The sequence below is a fragment of the Homo sapiens genome, chromosome 5 (assembly GCF_000001405.40).
Source record: "Homo sapiens chromosome 5, GRCh38.p14 Primary Assembly".
Classification (NCBI taxonomy): Eukaryota; Metazoa; Chordata; class Mammalia; order Primates; family Hominidae; genus Homo; species Homo sapiens.
The window spans coordinates 72,847,083-72,863,355 of NC_000005.10; the positions used below are offsets into that span (position 1 = coordinate 72,847,083).

The window sequence follows — 16,273 nt, forward strand, 5'->3', positions numbered from 1 at the left end:
ATTTACGAAGTCATTAGAACTTGGTGAGCAAAGTCAGATTACAGGCTATTAAGCAGAAAAATAAGAGTGAAAGAGAGAGGAAAAGGCATTTTTAAAAAGAAAGAAAAAGCTAACTAGAGAGGTGGAAAGGTAGTAGTTTTTTTAAGCCCCTACTAGCAAGGGACTTTTCATGTTAAAAATCCTCTCCTTTATCAAACTGTTTGGTTTTTACAAATAAGTCATGCTTGATACTTACATTTTGTTGTTTTTGTTTAAGCATTTAGTTTTAGTGAAAAATGTCATTAATAGCTTCAGTTGACTGTAGCAGATGCAACTCATAGTAGCTTTAAAAACCTATATTCGTGTCTCAGTCTTCACTGATTAAGTGTGGTTGTTTGCTCAGATCTTTTTTAGCTTTAGTTGCCACATGGAGGCAAATAATACCTCACTAGGTTGTAATGAAAATCAAATGAGAAAATGTAGTATGTGAAAATACTTTAATGGAATTAAACACTACCCAGTTGTAAAATTACATCATTTTTATTGTGTTTCCTTCGACCCAAAGTCCTTACTTTTGGAATGTAGTTATTTCATAATGGAATTTATTTCCCTTAATAGGAGTTCAAAAGTTGAAGTTTATGCAGAAATGCAATTTTTTTTAAGTCAAGTTCTGCAAATGTTGCATATAATGGTTTTCGAGGTCTGGGTTGCGACTGCATCAATATTTTAGACTTTTTAGTGCCTTATATATCAAATTGAAATGTAAACATTTTTATTGCTTCTAATTATTGCTGAACTGTCAGGGAAATTAACAACCTTTTTACCCTATTTCAATCATTTTTCGTTAATTCACCATGTGTATGTAAAATAATATACCCAAAACAGATCTCTTCAGGTGTTTCGCAGGGGTTTTGATAAGGACTTGACTTTTTATTAGCCCTTAAGTCAGTAGTAATCTGGACGGAATTAGAGATGGGTTGGGTTGGAGAAAACTGCGTGGCACTAGGACCCAGGGGGCTCCCGTGAGCGGATCTTGGGGCCAGATTGCAAATTCGCGGTGACTCAGTCTGGTCGGCTCCTTGCGCTCGGCGGCCGCGGCGGCAGCAGCAGCAGACGCTGGCGGCCGGGCTGCCAGGAGCAGTTCCGCCGGGTTTCACTGTCCGTGACTTCCTTCGGGGCACCTCAGGCAGGTCCGCGGCGTTTGGGGAGCGCTGGGGTTGTGGTGGCGGGGAGAACGGGTCAGCTGCGCGCGGGAAGCCTCTGGGCCTGTGCACCGGGAGTAACAGTTGCTCCGTCTCTTCCTGTGTCTGGCTTTATTTGCAGCAAACCAAGATGGAGTATGAGTGGAAACCTGACGAGCAAGGGCTTCAGCAAATCCTGCAGCTGTTGAAGGAGTCCCAGTCCCCAGACACCACCATCCAGAGAACCGTGCAACAAGTATCCTTTCCGAGGCCTGGCCGCCACCCGCGCAGCTCGCCCCGCGCTGCGGCCCAGCCCCCGGCGGCCGGGGGCTCCCGTCGCCTCCGCCTCTGCCCCTCCCCCATCCTCCGAGACCGGCCTCCTCCCTGGGTCCGGGCGCGGGGGAAGCCGCCGCTGCCCCTGCCGGGCGACTCGCGCACGCGGCCCTGGTGCCTGGGCCGGGGGCGCCGCCGCGTGGGGCTCACGCCGCCAAGGCCACCGGCTTCCGGCGCGCAGGAGGCGGGGGCCCCCGGCCGCCGCCCGGGATCGCGACATGTGCGCGGGCCGGGCCGCCACGTCCCCGCCCGCCGCTGACCTGCCGCGGGGGTAGGGAGCGGGCGGGCGGGAGCGGCCCGGGCCCACACAATGCGCCCCGTGGGTGGGGGTGGCAGGCCGAGCGGGAGGCCGGGTGGAGGGCGCTCTGTGCGCGGCGGAGCTCGCCGCCTGACTGGCCAGAAATGGGTGGAGCTGGCGCGGGGTTTGAACTGCAGCTGTGTGGGTCTTGGGGGTTTTTCCACGTCCTTGCCCTAAAAAGGCTGGGGACCTACAGGTGGGGGAAAGGGGTCTCTGTGCCTCACCCTGGGGTTACTGGTGTTAACACCTGTTGCGAACTCCTTGTCACCCAAGTGAGATTTTCTTTTTAAAGCTTTGGCTCAAGGCTGACTGCACAATTATGTAGGTCTTTACCGAGTGTGCTGGTGTAGTGATCCTGTTGCTACGGTTTTAGAGACAGGAAAGGTTAAGAGAACCAAAACTCTACCACGTATGCTTTCTGTAGTGCCCTAAACCGTGCTCAAATGGAGAGCTCTTACTGGATGCAGTAAAGGAAACATTCACTCTATATCATGAATAACCTTTTAACCCCCGTTTTAAGCCTAAAGAAGTTAGTTAAGTCTACTATTTTTTGCAGAAAAGCCTCTTGATTTTTATTGTCAAAAAGCAGCAAAATTACTTAATATGGAGTTTGGTAAGTAAGCTCTTCGTGTTTGAGTTTATTTACATTTAAAACATCTGTAAAGATGAAGTTATTTACCCCGAGGGTTTCGCAGAAATACTGCATTGCCGTAATTTAAAACCTTCAATAGATGACAAAATTAGTACTTACCTTCTTGGTTAATGTAGTACTTCCCATTTAAAAGTGGAAGGGATAATGATTTAGATCTGCTTGGATTTTTTAAAGCCATTTTGTTTGGATACTTCTAGTACTGAGGAAAGAACACTTTTGGAATGTATTGCCGTTTGTATCTTGTAAACAGTGCTATGGCTCAGTCTTAATTTGTGTTGTCATAGTTCTAGGGATGATAGAAGTTGATAGTTGATTAATTGCAGGTATTATATGATACAGTTACTAGTTTCTTAAATTAGCTAAGCCCAATCCTGCATTGTAGTTATTCTGTGGCACCATATATCATAATTTCTTGTTTTAGTCTACATTTATTAGGTACCTCATAAATGCTTAGTACCGTGCTTGGGCAAGTAGTCAATTTACAGTTTATTCTGTGTGCCTGGAACTTAGTATGTCCTCTGAGAAAGAACAACTTTCTGTTGCTGTGAGAGGAAAACTACTTTAGCTAAGAATACATACTGCTGTTTCAGAGTGCCTTATTTTGTTTCTCCTAAGAAGATAATATATTTAATTATTATTTTGTATAGGCTTTTGAGTACTTTTTGAAAGACCGCTATAATAGGATAAAGAGATGTAGCTTAAGTTGTAAAAAGGTAAACTTTATCAGGAAATAGTTTTGAAAAATTCATTGGCATATCAGCTTGTTGTTAATCTGGGCCATTCACTAAAACAAGAATTACTGTCTTGGTTGGAGAAAGTAGTTACACCTTGCAGTTTTACTAGAGACTATGTTGTTGGTTCGTTTACTTTCTGACCCATAAACATTGAGGGTATTCAAATATGTAATAAATAGCTAATAAAGTGTTACTGGAGTTTGATTCATGGATTTAATCAGAAATTTAGATTTGTTGGGTGACAAAACATTTTAATCTTTCTGTGTAGTAAAACACAATTGGGAAGCATGTTAGTTAGGGGTTGGGAGTCAGGGCTTGAAGAAAGATGTAATAGAGCATTTTGTCACAGCTGCCTCCCGACAGCGATGAAATACCTGCAAATTGGTATCACTAAAAATGTTGCATCTTGGGGATGAGGGGAAGAATTGTACAGCTGTAGTGCAATAATCTCATAATGCTGACTTTATAATAAGATATATAGCCTTGTGCATAAATGGCACTTTATCTTTTTGGATTCTAAAGAACAAATGAGTCTGAGAAGTATCTTTTTTTTAAAAGTTATTCTATAAAGTTAATTTCTCTAAATGATCTTCAACTCTGAAAGACTTGTTTTCATTTGGAATGCTTTTATTTTTGTCATTTTATGCTTAAATACCTTTCTATTTAGAATGGTTTAAAGTTGAAATCCAAGAATTTTTTTGAATATTTTTTGCTATATTGAGCATGCTGAAGCTGGAACTTTCTTATGTTGTATTGCATGTAATTGATACATTTCAGCCATAAAGCACCTAAGAGGTTTAGCAAGCACTAGCGTGTTTTTGAAATAGATGTTGATAGATTTAGTAAGATATCCTTATTCTTAGTTTAAAAAAAAAACGCAGGACTGAAAATACCACCAAAGAGATCCTTGATTTTTAGATTTAAAATGCTTAATTTCTTCCTGAGATTACACAGAGAAGTTTCCTTAACTACTGTTTGTTCTAGAAACTGGAACAACTTAATCAGTATCCAGACTTTAACAACTACTTGATTTTTGTTCTTACAAAATTAAAATCTGAAGGTAAGTAGGATTTGTATTGATAACTATTTAAAGTTTCTTTAAGACCTGTTTAAATGTACTGAGAATTATTCATTTCAAAGGATTTCATTTTGTAGTAACCTTGTGCTTTATAGATGTGGGATAAACAGTCTTAGTTAATACCACTCAGTATTTACATGTTTAATAAGAATTCCTTTTTTTTAATGTATATACAGACAGAGTCTCACTCTATCACCCAGGCTGGAGTGCAGTGGTGCGATCTTGGCTCACTACAATATCTGCCTCCCGGGTTCAAGCAATGCTCATGCCAAACCTCCCTAGTAGCCGGGATTACAGGCATGCGCCATCACATCCAGCTAATTTTTTTGTATTTTTAGTAGAGACAGAGTTTTGCCTTGTTGGCCAGGCTAACCTTGAACTCCTGGCCTCTGGGGATTCGCCTGCCGCAGTCTCCCAAAGTGCTCGGATTGCAGGTGTGAGCCACTGTGCCCAGCCAGCATTCATTTTTAATAGGGTGTTTGTATAATAAGTTACTTAATTCTTTGCAGATGAAAAACTTGTTGCAAAGTCTACTTTAATGTTTTGCTTTCATGCATATAGATGGATATAACAAAGGTTGTAATACAAAGATTGAATGTAGGTTTTAATAACTGAATATGTGTGTTTTTTGTAGAAAAAAATTGAAAGGTCATATAATCAAAATGAAAAATTATTTATCCCATCTTCCAGAGATGATTATTGTTGATCTCTTCAATTATATCCTTCTCTGCTCTTATATGGTCACATACTATTTTAAAATTATTTAGCAAAAAGTGGGATCATTCTATTGATAAGTAGACTTTTGTAACTTTTTAAAAAACTTCTAAAAGTCTACATGAAACTTTTTCATGACTCTTAATTTTAAATTTAAATGATTTCTATGACAGTTTAAAGCCTGAGTAGTCTGATTTTTAAATAACATGGTCATTTGATTATTTCTAATAATATGTAACGCATCCCACTAGACATTATTTCATAAATATTTATGGAGCGCCATCTCTGCCATGCAATTTACAGGCTCAGGAGAGAAAGGTGAACAAAACAGACAAAAATCACTGCCCTCAAGGAGCTTACGTTGTAGTGAGAGTTGTTTCTCATAGCATTATTTGGGTATTCCCTCCCTGAAACATTGTGGACACATAGAAGTCAATTAAATATTTATTGCGCAACTGATTGGCCTCTAAATGAAAGCGCTGTACCCTATTCAGTGATTAGTGTTTTAGAAGCCATGGTGCAATTAATAAAATCACTGCACTTGGAATTGGGAAATAACAAGGTTTAGACAACCAGACCATCTGTAAAGTTTCAGCTCCAAATTCTGACAGGTTAATAGTGTTATTGTGTAGTAAAAACTCACTGATTTGTATTCAGATTTTCATAATTCTTGCACGGTGATTTCTTTTGAATTATTTTCAGTTGATTTTGTAGTTAATTTGGGGGATTTTAATTTGTGAATGAAGGACACAATAGAAAATTTAGAACTCTTAAGTCTAGGTTTTAAGAAACTAAGAATTATTTCAACAATTAATATTCCTAGTTTGATATTTGCGATACATTGCTTCTTAATATAGAAATTTTTCTGACAGTTTGTGATCAACCTGTTTGTTTCTTATACTAAGATATTTATAAATGGATTTTTTAAATCTAATTGTTTTATTTGAAATTTTTAAATTTATTTTCACTAAGCTGTCCACTCTCATGTTCTTATCCTACATTCCAAATATTAGGATTGTTACAATATTATACTCTTGAGTACAGCTTTCTTGGGATATAAGGATACTTCCTTCAGGCCAGGCAAGGTGGCTCTTTCTTGGGATATAAGGATACCTCAGGCCAGGCAAGGTGGCTCACGCCTGTAATCCCAGCACTTTGAGAGGCCAAAGCAGGAAGATTGCTTCAGGCAAGGAGTTCAAGATCAGCAACATAGTGAATGGTGAAACTCCATCTCTGTAAAAATTAGCTGGCATAGTGGCACACACCTGTGGTCCCGCTACTCAGGAGGCTGAGGTGGGAGGATCACCTGAGCTCAGGAGGTCAAGGCTACAGTGAGCTGTGATCGTGCCACTGCACTCCAGTGTACTTAAGTGCTTCAGAAGTACTTAAAAAAACACAAACACACAACTTGTTAAGTAGTGGCAAGAGGGTTTGGAAGTCATTGCTTCCACAAAGACATTAATTACAAAACCATAAAATGTTGGAAAGGATTTTATTCAGATTTTCTTGACCCTAAAATGTGTTTCTTATGTTCATTATGCAGTTTCTCTGAGGATGCAGTAGTTTTACGTTGGTGTAACACTTGATATTTCTTCTTGTGTTTATGCATTTTTTTTTTTCCCTGGGAAGATTGGGACACAAGTTTGCTGCATGTAGTTTTCCATTTTAAAAAAATCTTTGCATCATGGCTGTTCATATTAAAGCAGCAATACAAGTAACATCTTAAATGAAAATGCTTATGTAGTAATCTTATCACTGAATTGTAGAGTAAAATTTTTGATCTGTAAGAGATCTCAGATCAGCTGCTCTAATTATCTCACTTTACAAATGAACAAATTGAGGGTACACTGAAGTAGTCTTAATTTTTGTAAAACAAAGGAAATCGTTAGTCGTTGAATTTTTTAAATGGATTTTAAGAGAGTATATACTTTTAATATTGAATTGTTTCACCTCATGTTGTGGTTTATTAAAATTCTTCATCTTGTAACCTTTATGGTAAAAACAATATACTATATTTCTCGTAAACAAAGTCATGCCATTTAAAATAATTATATGGCTGAATTATTAACAGGTAATTTAAGGCAAGTTTATTGCTTAAAGAAGTTAAATATCTGGCTTCATTTATTTCATGGCAGTTTTTAACTTTTAAGAGAATTTAAAGGTATTTTTGTTTGTTTTGTTTTGGTTTGAGACGGAGTCTCGCAATGGGTTGTAATTGAAAATGGAAAGTAGTTTTTAAATGATGACATACAAGGTTTTATAGTGCTGTGATGACCTGAATGAAGTTTGTGTGCAGAGAAACTGCTCTTTTTGCCTCTACATGTTGCTTCACTCTTGAAGATTTCAGTGCCATTCAGAGTTTGGGAACATCATACTAACTAGAACAAGCTTGGGATATATTATTTTTTAATAAGACGGGTAAAACAATGGTTTTACAATAACATTCTGTTCAACATGCCAGCTCTTCATCTTATAGCCCTTTGAGTGGGGGTAATACTGAAGAATGATTCAAAGTCCTTAGTTTCTTCACTTGTGCAATGGGGTGAATAATACCTGCCTCATGAAGTTGTAAGGATTAAGTGCAGTGCCACTTGGAAAGCACTTAGCAATGTTTAATAAATCATAAGCATTTCGAAGATGTTAACTATTGCTAATATTGTTGGTGTTGATGCCAACTGGTAAAGCCGTCAGTTATGTTCTACTAGTATTAAGTAGCTTTTTGAAAATTTGTAAATACTATCTATGGATTAAACTTATTTTAAGAAAACTCTTTTTAAATGTTTTTGGAGGTATTTTTTTGCTTTTAAGTTCAGAGGCAAATGAAAAACATGATATAAATTAACAGCAATTATATTTGTTACATGAAGGTCTTATATATTCTTTGTCCACTTAATTTTTCAATATTATATTTTTTTGACACTGGAGGAAAATGATTTCAAAAAATTTTTTTTTTGTTTTTGAGACAGTCTCACTCTGTCGCCTGGGCTGGAGTGTAGTGGCATGATCTTGGCTTCTCTGCTTGCAGCCTCTGCCTTCTGAGTTCAAGTGATTCTCCTGCCTCCGCCTCCCAAGCAGCTTGGATTAAAGGCACACACCACCATGCCTGGCTAATTTGGGGGTTTTTAGTAGATACGGGGTTTCACCATGTAGGCCGGTCTGGTCTCGAACTCCTGGCCTTCCAAAGTGCTGGGATTACAGGCATGAACCACCACGCCCAGCCTTAAAAAAAAAAACCAGCAACAAAATTTTAATAGGATATGTTTAAGACTAGTACTTCCAGCTCTATAATGATGTGTATATCAGGAAACAATAAAGCTTGAGCACAGTGGCCATATATATAAACGAAATTAACTCTTAAATCAGTGGTTCTCAACCACTGGCAATTTTAACCCCCAGAAAACATTTGACATTATCTGGAAACATTTTTGGTTAACACAACTTGGAGGGGTGCTGCTGGCATCTGTGGCTGATGATGCTACTTAACATCTTAAAATGCACAGGACAGCACCCTCCAACAAATAATTGTCAGTATGTCAAGGTTGAAAAACCCTGAGCTATAAATGATAGAGCTAATCTTTTGTTAATCAGTTATAATTATTTTAACTGGTTATAGCAAGTTTGAATGTCAATCAACTTTTGAATATAAATGTTTTTAAAACTTATCGGCACATTTTGAAATTAAGACTACTTCAAAACTCATTACTATTACTATTTTATTACAGATGAACCCACAAGATCATTGAGTGGTCTTATCTTGAAGAATAATGTGAAAGCACACTTTCAGAACTTCCCAAATGGTGTAACAGACTTTATTAAAAGTGAATGTTTAAATAATATTGGTGACTCCTCTCCTCTGATTAGAGCCACTGTTGGTAAGTTATATTACAACAGTTTTGCTTACTTTGTTTGTAACTGGGTCATTTTTAGAGATGACAGATTATTTCCTTAGGAATTTTTGTCTGTTTCATGTTAAATTGTGTTGGGGAAACTTTCATTGCCTTTAAATGCTTTTGAAATGGTGTAATCATGGTAAAAGCGCTCTCATCCAGTGAAACTAGTGACCCTGGATAAGAGGAGAGCCTGATCAAACTTAGCCTAATCAGAGTTGGTTAAAATGGGGCATCAACAAGTGATATTAATTTGCGGACACTACTTTTTCTTGAGCATGCAGATTAGAGTTCTGTTTGTTTTTTTGTTTTTTTTTGAAGCAGTCTCTGTTGCCCAGGCTGGGGTACAGTGGCACAATCTTGACTCACTGCAACCTCTGCCTCCTGGATTCAAGCGATTCTCCTGCCTCAGCCTCCCGAGTAGCTGTGATTACAGGCACCCGCCACCATGCCTGGCTAATTTTTGTACTTTTTAGTAGAGACAGGGTTTTACCATGTTGGCCAGGCTGGTCTATAACTCCTGACCTCAGGTGATCCGCCTGCCTCAGCCTCCCAAAGTGCTGAGATTACAGGCCTGAGCCATGGCGCCTGGCTTGGAGTTCCTATTTTCTGCCTAGCATGATGCATAATTTCTTGTTTCACTTTTACATGTGAAGAAATACTTTTTAATTGCTTATGAAAAACCTAAGTGTATATAGGATTCTAGATTTTTACTATTTTCTCCCTTGTTTTTAAATATAAGCCTTGTCAGTAATTCAGCAGCAACTTTTTAGTCTTTTCAGAGCGTTCAGCTTATTTTCAGGGGCAGTACAACTTTCTGTTAGCTTATGTAATACTGAATTAACATGCTTAATTATAGTAACTCGTATAAATCTATTTGGAAACACACACAACTGGCTATTGGTTAACACAATTTGCCAACCAATGGAAGCAGTAATAAATAGCCATACTGAAGAGGAGCGTACTAATGGGCAGCCTTTAGTATACCATGGGCTTAAGCAGCTAACTTCTACAAGGACCTGGAAAGCTTCTGTTAATCTACCCAGGCTGGTTAAATGAAAGTCCGTTAAATGAGTCAGATGCTTTCATTAAGAGTTCCTGACTGGGCACGATGGCTCACGCTGTAATCCCAGCACTTTGGGAGGCTGAGGCGGATGGATCACCTGAGGTCAGGAGTTCGAGACCAGCCTGACATGGTAAAACCCTGTCTCTACTAAAAATACAAAAAAATTAGCCAGGTGTGGTGGCGTGTGCTTGTAATCCCAGCTACTTGGGAGCCTGAGGCAGGAAAATTGCTTGAACCCGGGAGGTGCAGGTTGCAGTAAGCTGAGATCACGCCATTGCACTGCAGCCTGGGTGACGAGCGAAAATCTGTCTCAAAAAAAAAAAAAGAGTTCCTGTTTTGTCTTGTGGGTTTGAAAAATATTTATCTCTTACTTACAAAGCATTGGCTCTATGACCTCCCTGCAGATATTCTTGTATTAAACAGTGCCATCATTGACACTGATTTTACATTTGATGGGTAGAGGACATTTGTGGTTTGAGAAAAAGAACTCCCTAGATTACTCTAATGTACTCTTACGTACCTTAAGGCTTTACCTACTCTTGACACTGTTAAAAAGAATGGTGAGCGTGTGCCAGCCTTTTCCATTTCGGATCCAGGAGAGAAATCTCCATACGTAAGTGGAATGGAATTTAGAAGGAAGGTGGGTTTCCTCTGAGTGTTGGCAACTCAGCTGAAAGGAAAGGAGAGGATATAGAAACGAGTTATGAGATTGTTTCTTCCTAAACTGTATTTCATTATAAACCTATCTTTAAGTGCCATTTGGTTCAAACTACAATACTCTGTGTCTTTAAATTTGAAAGGTTAGAAGTAATAATACTAGGGAGAGAAGAATTGGTTTTATCTCCTAATGAGTACTTTCACCTTCCATAAGGTTTTTGAACATGTTTAGGAGCTGACTTTATCTTTGGAATTATTTAAGCACTTAGGTATCATCTGACTTATTTTAAAACAGAGATTGGTGAAATTGACTTATGTAGGCATTTTTATTTCTTGCTGTGTATTAGTAGAATACGAAAGGTCTTTCATTTTAGTTTATGTTAAGTAGATACTTAAGTATTCTAATTGTGAGGGACCACTGCAGTTTTCAGTATAGAAACAGCTTTTATTTAGTTGCTTTACTACAGATGAAGGAGCTTCAAACATAACTGCAGTGTATTTTCAAATGACATGATGTCTAGGATTTGATAAAAAAGCAATTAGGAATGTGAAGGTGGTTGTGGGTAGAAGTATGGATGAAACAAGATTGACCATGTATTAATGACTGCTGAAGCTAGTTAATGGATACATTTAGTTCATTATATTTTTCTATTTTTATATATGTATGTGAAATTTTCTATTTTAAAAAGTCTGTAATATTAACTAGATAAAACAGCTATGAGCTTGAAATAAGTTAGCTAAAAATGAGTTCGTTTTTGTCCCTCCTGCCTTCACACCCACCTCCACCCCACTTTTTGATATGTATTAGTGAAGGTGGTGGAAAGTATGATTGACAGATTCTTCCCAAAGAGGGGAGAAATTATTTTGGGGGCACAGCATTAAGACTAAAGTATTGGCCAGGTGCGGTGGCTCATGCCTGTAATCCCAGCACTTTGGGAGGCCAAGGTGGGCGGATCACGAGGTCAGGAGATCGAAACCATCCTGGCTAACATGGTGAAACCCCGTCTCTACTAAAAATACAAAAAATTATCCGGGTGTGGTGGTGGGCACCTGTAGTCCCAGCTACTCTGGAGGCTGAGGCAGGAGAATGGCATGAACCCGGGAGGCGGAGCTTGCAGTGAGCCAGGATCGCGCCATTGCACTCCAGCCTGGATGACAGAGTGAGACTCCGTCTCAAAAAAAAAAAAGACTCTAAAGTATTTTATAGTTTTGTTGTTGTTTTGTTTGTTTTGCTTCAGGAAAATTGATGAGTTATTTAAACACATTGGTGCTTTCCAACAAATCTGGGAAGGTTTTTTTTTTTTTTTTAATCACCCAAATTGCCTAATCTTAGTTTACATGAGAAAAAGATTTAAAACACTTCTAGGAACATATTTTTAAGTGAAATAATTTTTTGGAGTTTCTGAAAATCATCTCTAAGAATTGGCAACAGACTCTTCATCACTTACTAACCTTCACAGAAAATTCTTGGTATATGTATAGTAGTGCAAGTACTCTGACTCTACATTATCAGTTGATGTAGGACTCTGTTCCTCTAGACCAGAGTTTTCCAACCTCAGCACTTGACATTTTGGACTGGATAATTCTTTGTTGTTGGGCTATTTTGTCTGTGCACTACAGGATGTTAATCAGCACACCTGACCTCTACCCACTGGATACCAGCAGCAGCCACATACCCTGCTGTAGCAACCAAAAATGTCTCTAGACCATGCCACGTGTTGGGGTCAGGGAGTGCCTGACTGAGCTCCTTGAGGGAAAGGACCATGTGTTATTTTTGTATTTCTTAGCATCTACTAATAATATATACAATATTTAAATATTTTAATTAAAAGATTACTGATTATAAAAATAGACTAGCAGCTTTGGCTTTTAAAATTTTTATTAACCTTAACAATACATGTTGGGAATCTTATCAAGGAAGTCTATTTGGAAGGGACCACATCTGAATGACTGTGGGGTAATTCATCAGATGAAGTAAAGATGTTTCTCTTGTTTAGAGAGTATACAGTTTGTTTGTAATTTTATTATTTCAATGAATATTCTCTTGTGTATGTTTGTACAATTACAGGAAGATTTCTATAGGATTAATTTGTGTATTTGGCATTATTGGGTCAAAGTGTGTTTAAACATTTTTAAGATTTTAATAGGTGTTGCCAAGCACACTGATTTCATTCCCGTATTTGTTATAAATACTGAGAAATATTAAGTTATGCTTGGTTTCTTTTAGACAGATCCAGATCTTGCTCATTCCCTTATTTCTTTTATATTTTAACTTTAGGAAAGACTAATTTGCAGGAACGATCAGATCTTGCTGCTTTTGGATCTTAATGGAAGGCTATTTTATTGTAAGGGCTATATCTTGAAAATGCTATCAGTACATTAATTCTTACTATACAATTTAATTTTTTTGTGTGTGGAGAATAAATTTGCCGGGAGCTTTACTTTCTAGATTCTTTTTTAGTTCTTTATCATTGAGAGCAACCTTCTCAGAACTAAAGGTAGAAAATTTATACACATGGTGATATTTGCTGTTCAGTGATAGTCATTGAGTGTTTACTAGATGCCAGGCATTTTCTATATATCCAATTGAATTTTCAAAATAACCCTATGAAGAGTTTTCTTTTTTCATTTTTGTACACTCATATTTTGCAGCTTAGAATGCATATAATTTGCCTATTGTCAGAGCTTATACTCTTCTGGCACTAAAAGATCCATAATCACTAAGCATATTATATCACTAATATGTTTACTAAGGCAGAAAAAAATATTAACACGAAACCTTTCTGTTGTCCTTGTGTTTGTGTTAACACAAAACTTTCCTTACATTTGTGTGTATTTGCATAATTCATTGACTATCACAACTCTACTGCATAACACAGTTGAGATAATCCATTCAGTCAGAACAACATGATCAGTGAGCATGGGCCACCCAGCCTCGAAGATCGCCTTTCTGGCGACTCATTCTTGATCCAGTAAGTGGGAACTGTTGTAGGAGTATGTAGCCTGCCTACATGAGGGAGAGTGTTGTAAGCAGTGAAACATACAGGATTATTCTCAAGTGATACTCATCTGCTTAAGTTTTTCCTACCATGGTCCTTGGCTCTGGTTCCAGATTAAGTCAGGGAGCTATTTTTAGCTTCTTAATGTGTCTTTTATTTGAACCTAACAGACTCATAAGTTTATCACCCAGTGTTAAGTGCTGCTAACGTTTTGGCATATTTTCTTTCTACTCTTTTGTATGGATAAATTAGAATTTTTTTTTTTTTTTGAGACAGAATTTCGTTCTTGTTGCCCAGACTGGAGTGCAGTGGCGTGATCTCGGCTCACTGCAACCTCCGCCTCCCGGGTTCAAGCGATTCTCCTGCCTCAGCCTCCTGAGTAGCTGAGATTACAGGCATGCACCACATGCCCGGCTAGTTATGTATTTTTAGTAGAGATGGGGTTTCTCCATGTTGGTCAGGCTGGTCTTGAACTCCCAACCTCATGTGATCCACCCACCTCGGCCTCCCAAAGTGCTGGGATTACAGGTGTGAGCCACCGTGCCCAGCCATTAGAATTAATTTTAATTGGTGGAGCTATTCTTGGTATTATGGCAGAAAAAGAAGTTGCATTCTTATACTTGGTAAATTTAACTCAAAAAACCTTAGAGGGTGAAATGTTGAAAAACACTATTAGAAACAGATCTGGTTTATGTGAGGTTTTTTTTCCACAAGGTACGGAATGGTGATATGGGTGTTGGTGGTGAGTGTTACTAATTTTTTGAGACAGGGTCTCACTCTGCCCAGGCATGAGTGTGGTCTCATAGTCATGGCTCACTGCAGCCTCGACCTCCTTGACTCAGGTGATCCTCTCACTTCAGCCTCCTGAATAGCTGGGATCACAGGCGCATACCATCACGCCCAGCTGATTTTCTTGTATTTTTAGTAGTGAGAGGGTTTCATCATGTTGCCCAGGCTGGTCTGGAATTCCTGGGCTCAAGAGATCTGCCCGCCTCGGCCTCCCAGAATGCTGGGATTACAGCATGAGCCACCATGCCTGGCCAAATGTTATTATTTACATAAAATGTGTTTGTGCACACAGTTGCTCACATGGCAATGCCTGACATAATGCTGTTGGATTTCCTAAAGAAGTGTGTTTTTGTTCAAGGTATTTTGATCACAACTATAGCCTCCAAGGGAGAATTGCAGAATTGGCCTGACCTCTTACCAAAACTCTGTAGCCTGTTGGATTCTGAAGATTATAATACCTGTGAGGTAAGGATATTTGTTTCATACATAATTGGGTGTTTTCTGTTTTTCTTGTCATGTTGTGTATTAGCAGCTTTTGGGAAAAATAGTTCCTCTGAAACATACAGCTTCTCAAAACTTAGAAACCTAAAGTTACCTTTGTGTTATATTACATTTGTAAATCATTTATTTTTCTATAAAAACTGTTACATTATAAACCTCTTTTACTGTATTTCACACAAGGACGTATCTTGCTTTTCTGTTCTAAAATTATTCTTGGATGTATATGTATGTAATATACAGTTTTTGTCAAGCCTAATCAGTTAAAGATAGAATGAAATTTACCAAATTCCTGGACCATGAGTACTTTTTTAGCTTCTCTAAATTGTTTTTATGCCTCTTATATGAGATATCTAAGGGATGCTGAACTTGTGTTTTTTGTTTTTGTTTTTGTTTTTTGAGACAGGGTCTCACTCTGTTTCCCAGGCTGGAGTGCAGTGGCACCATCATAGCTCACCTCAACCTCCTGGGCTCAAACAATCCTCCTACGTCAGCCTCCCAAAGTAGTGGGGACTACAGGCATGTACTACCATGCTAGACTAATTTTTTCTTTTTTTTTTTGGTAGAGATGGGGTCGCGCTGTTGTTCAGGCTGACCCTGAACTCCTGAGCTCAAGAAATCTTCCAGCCTCAGCCTCCCAAAGTGCTGGGATTACAGGCATGAGCCACTGCACTTCACTAAACTTGTCTTCGTTTTTTTTGTTTGTTTGTTTGTTTCAAACAGGGTCTCGCTCTGTTGCCCAGGCTGAAGTGCAGTGGTGCAATCTCAGCTCACTGCAACCTCTGCCTCCCAGAATCAAGTGATTCTCCCACCTCAGCCTCCCGAGTAGCTGCGATTACAGGCATGAGCCACCACGCCCGCCTAATTTTTTTGTATTTTTAGTAGAGACAGAGTTTCACCATGTTGGACAGGCTGGTCTTGAACTCCTGGACTCAAATGATCCACCTGTCTCAACCTCCCAAAGTGTTAGGATTACAGGTGTGAGCCACTGCGCCGGACCATTGTCTTCGTTGTAATCATACATTAACTCTGACCTGTGGGTTTTTGTGTGTGTGTGTGTGTGTGTGTGTGTGTGTGTGGTTTTTTTTGTTGTTTTTTTGGGGTTTTTTTGCCACTGATTAGATCACTAGCATCCTTTTTGTTTGGGGAGAGAGGATGATTTCTCATGGTTAGTGGATACAGTAAGTATCTCTTTAATTAGCAGGCTTCCAATTTGGGTAGAAATCTATTTTTTGTGGAAACCATATTTGGTGTTTTGACTCTGTAAAGCATCGACTCCTATACCTCTCAAAGAGCGGAGGTTGAAGGCAGGGCAGGCACAGGAATAACCTGTCAACAACAAAAAAACCCCACAGGAATAACCTAACCTAAAAGGGAAAAAAGAAACTATCCGCCATGGTGGCTCACA

The 16,273-nt window shown here is 38.9% G+C and overlaps 1 protein-coding gene across 10 annotated transcripts in view, besides 3 other annotated features; it reads left to right on the forward strand.

The window, feature by feature from the left end:
• TNPO1 (transportin 1) overlaps positions 1 to 16,273 on the forward strand; it is a 97,728-nt gene that overhangs the window by 30,422 nt on the left and 51,033 nt on the right. For 4 of the 10 annotated variants that reach the window (NM_001364292.3, NM_002270.4, XM_005248501.3 and 1 more), the window contains exons 2-5: positions 1,303 to 1,416; positions 4,162 to 4,237; positions 8,692 to 8,841; positions 14,726 to 14,832. In NM_001364292.3, the coding sequence (NP_001351221.1) occupies positions 1,312 to 1,416; positions 4,162 to 4,237; positions 8,692 to 8,841; positions 14,726 to 14,832 (438 nt within the window). In that variant the 5' untranslated portion in view covers positions 1,303 to 1,311. Of the gene's footprint in view, positions 1 to 1,056; positions 1,170 to 1,302; positions 1,417 to 4,161; positions 4,238 to 8,691; positions 8,842 to 14,725; positions 14,833 to 16,273 lie in introns of those variants that run through there. The other 6 variants (NM_153188.4, NM_001364294.3, NM_001364296.2 and 3 more) reach the window with 3 other exon arrangements.
• Positions 887 to 1,126: an enhancer, noted in NCBI's record as "active region_22655". NCBI's record gives its function as "activates an Ori minimal core promoter by ATAC-STARR-seq in GM12878 lymphoblastoid cells {active_cell/tissue: GM12878}" and the evidence as "EXISTENCE:reporter gene assay evidence [ECO:0000049][PMID:35858748]".
• Positions 1,477 to 1,816: a silencer, noted in NCBI's record as "silent region_16085". NCBI's record gives its function as "represses an Ori minimal core promoter by ATAC-STARR-seq in GM12878 lymphoblastoid cells {active_cell/tissue: GM12878}" and the evidence as "EXISTENCE:reporter gene assay evidence [ECO:0000049][PMID:35858748]".
• Positions 1,927 to 2,106: an enhancer, noted in NCBI's record as "active region_22656". NCBI's record gives its function as "activates an Ori minimal core promoter by ATAC-STARR-seq in GM12878 lymphoblastoid cells {active_cell/tissue: GM12878}" and the evidence as "EXISTENCE:reporter gene assay evidence [ECO:0000049][PMID:35858748]".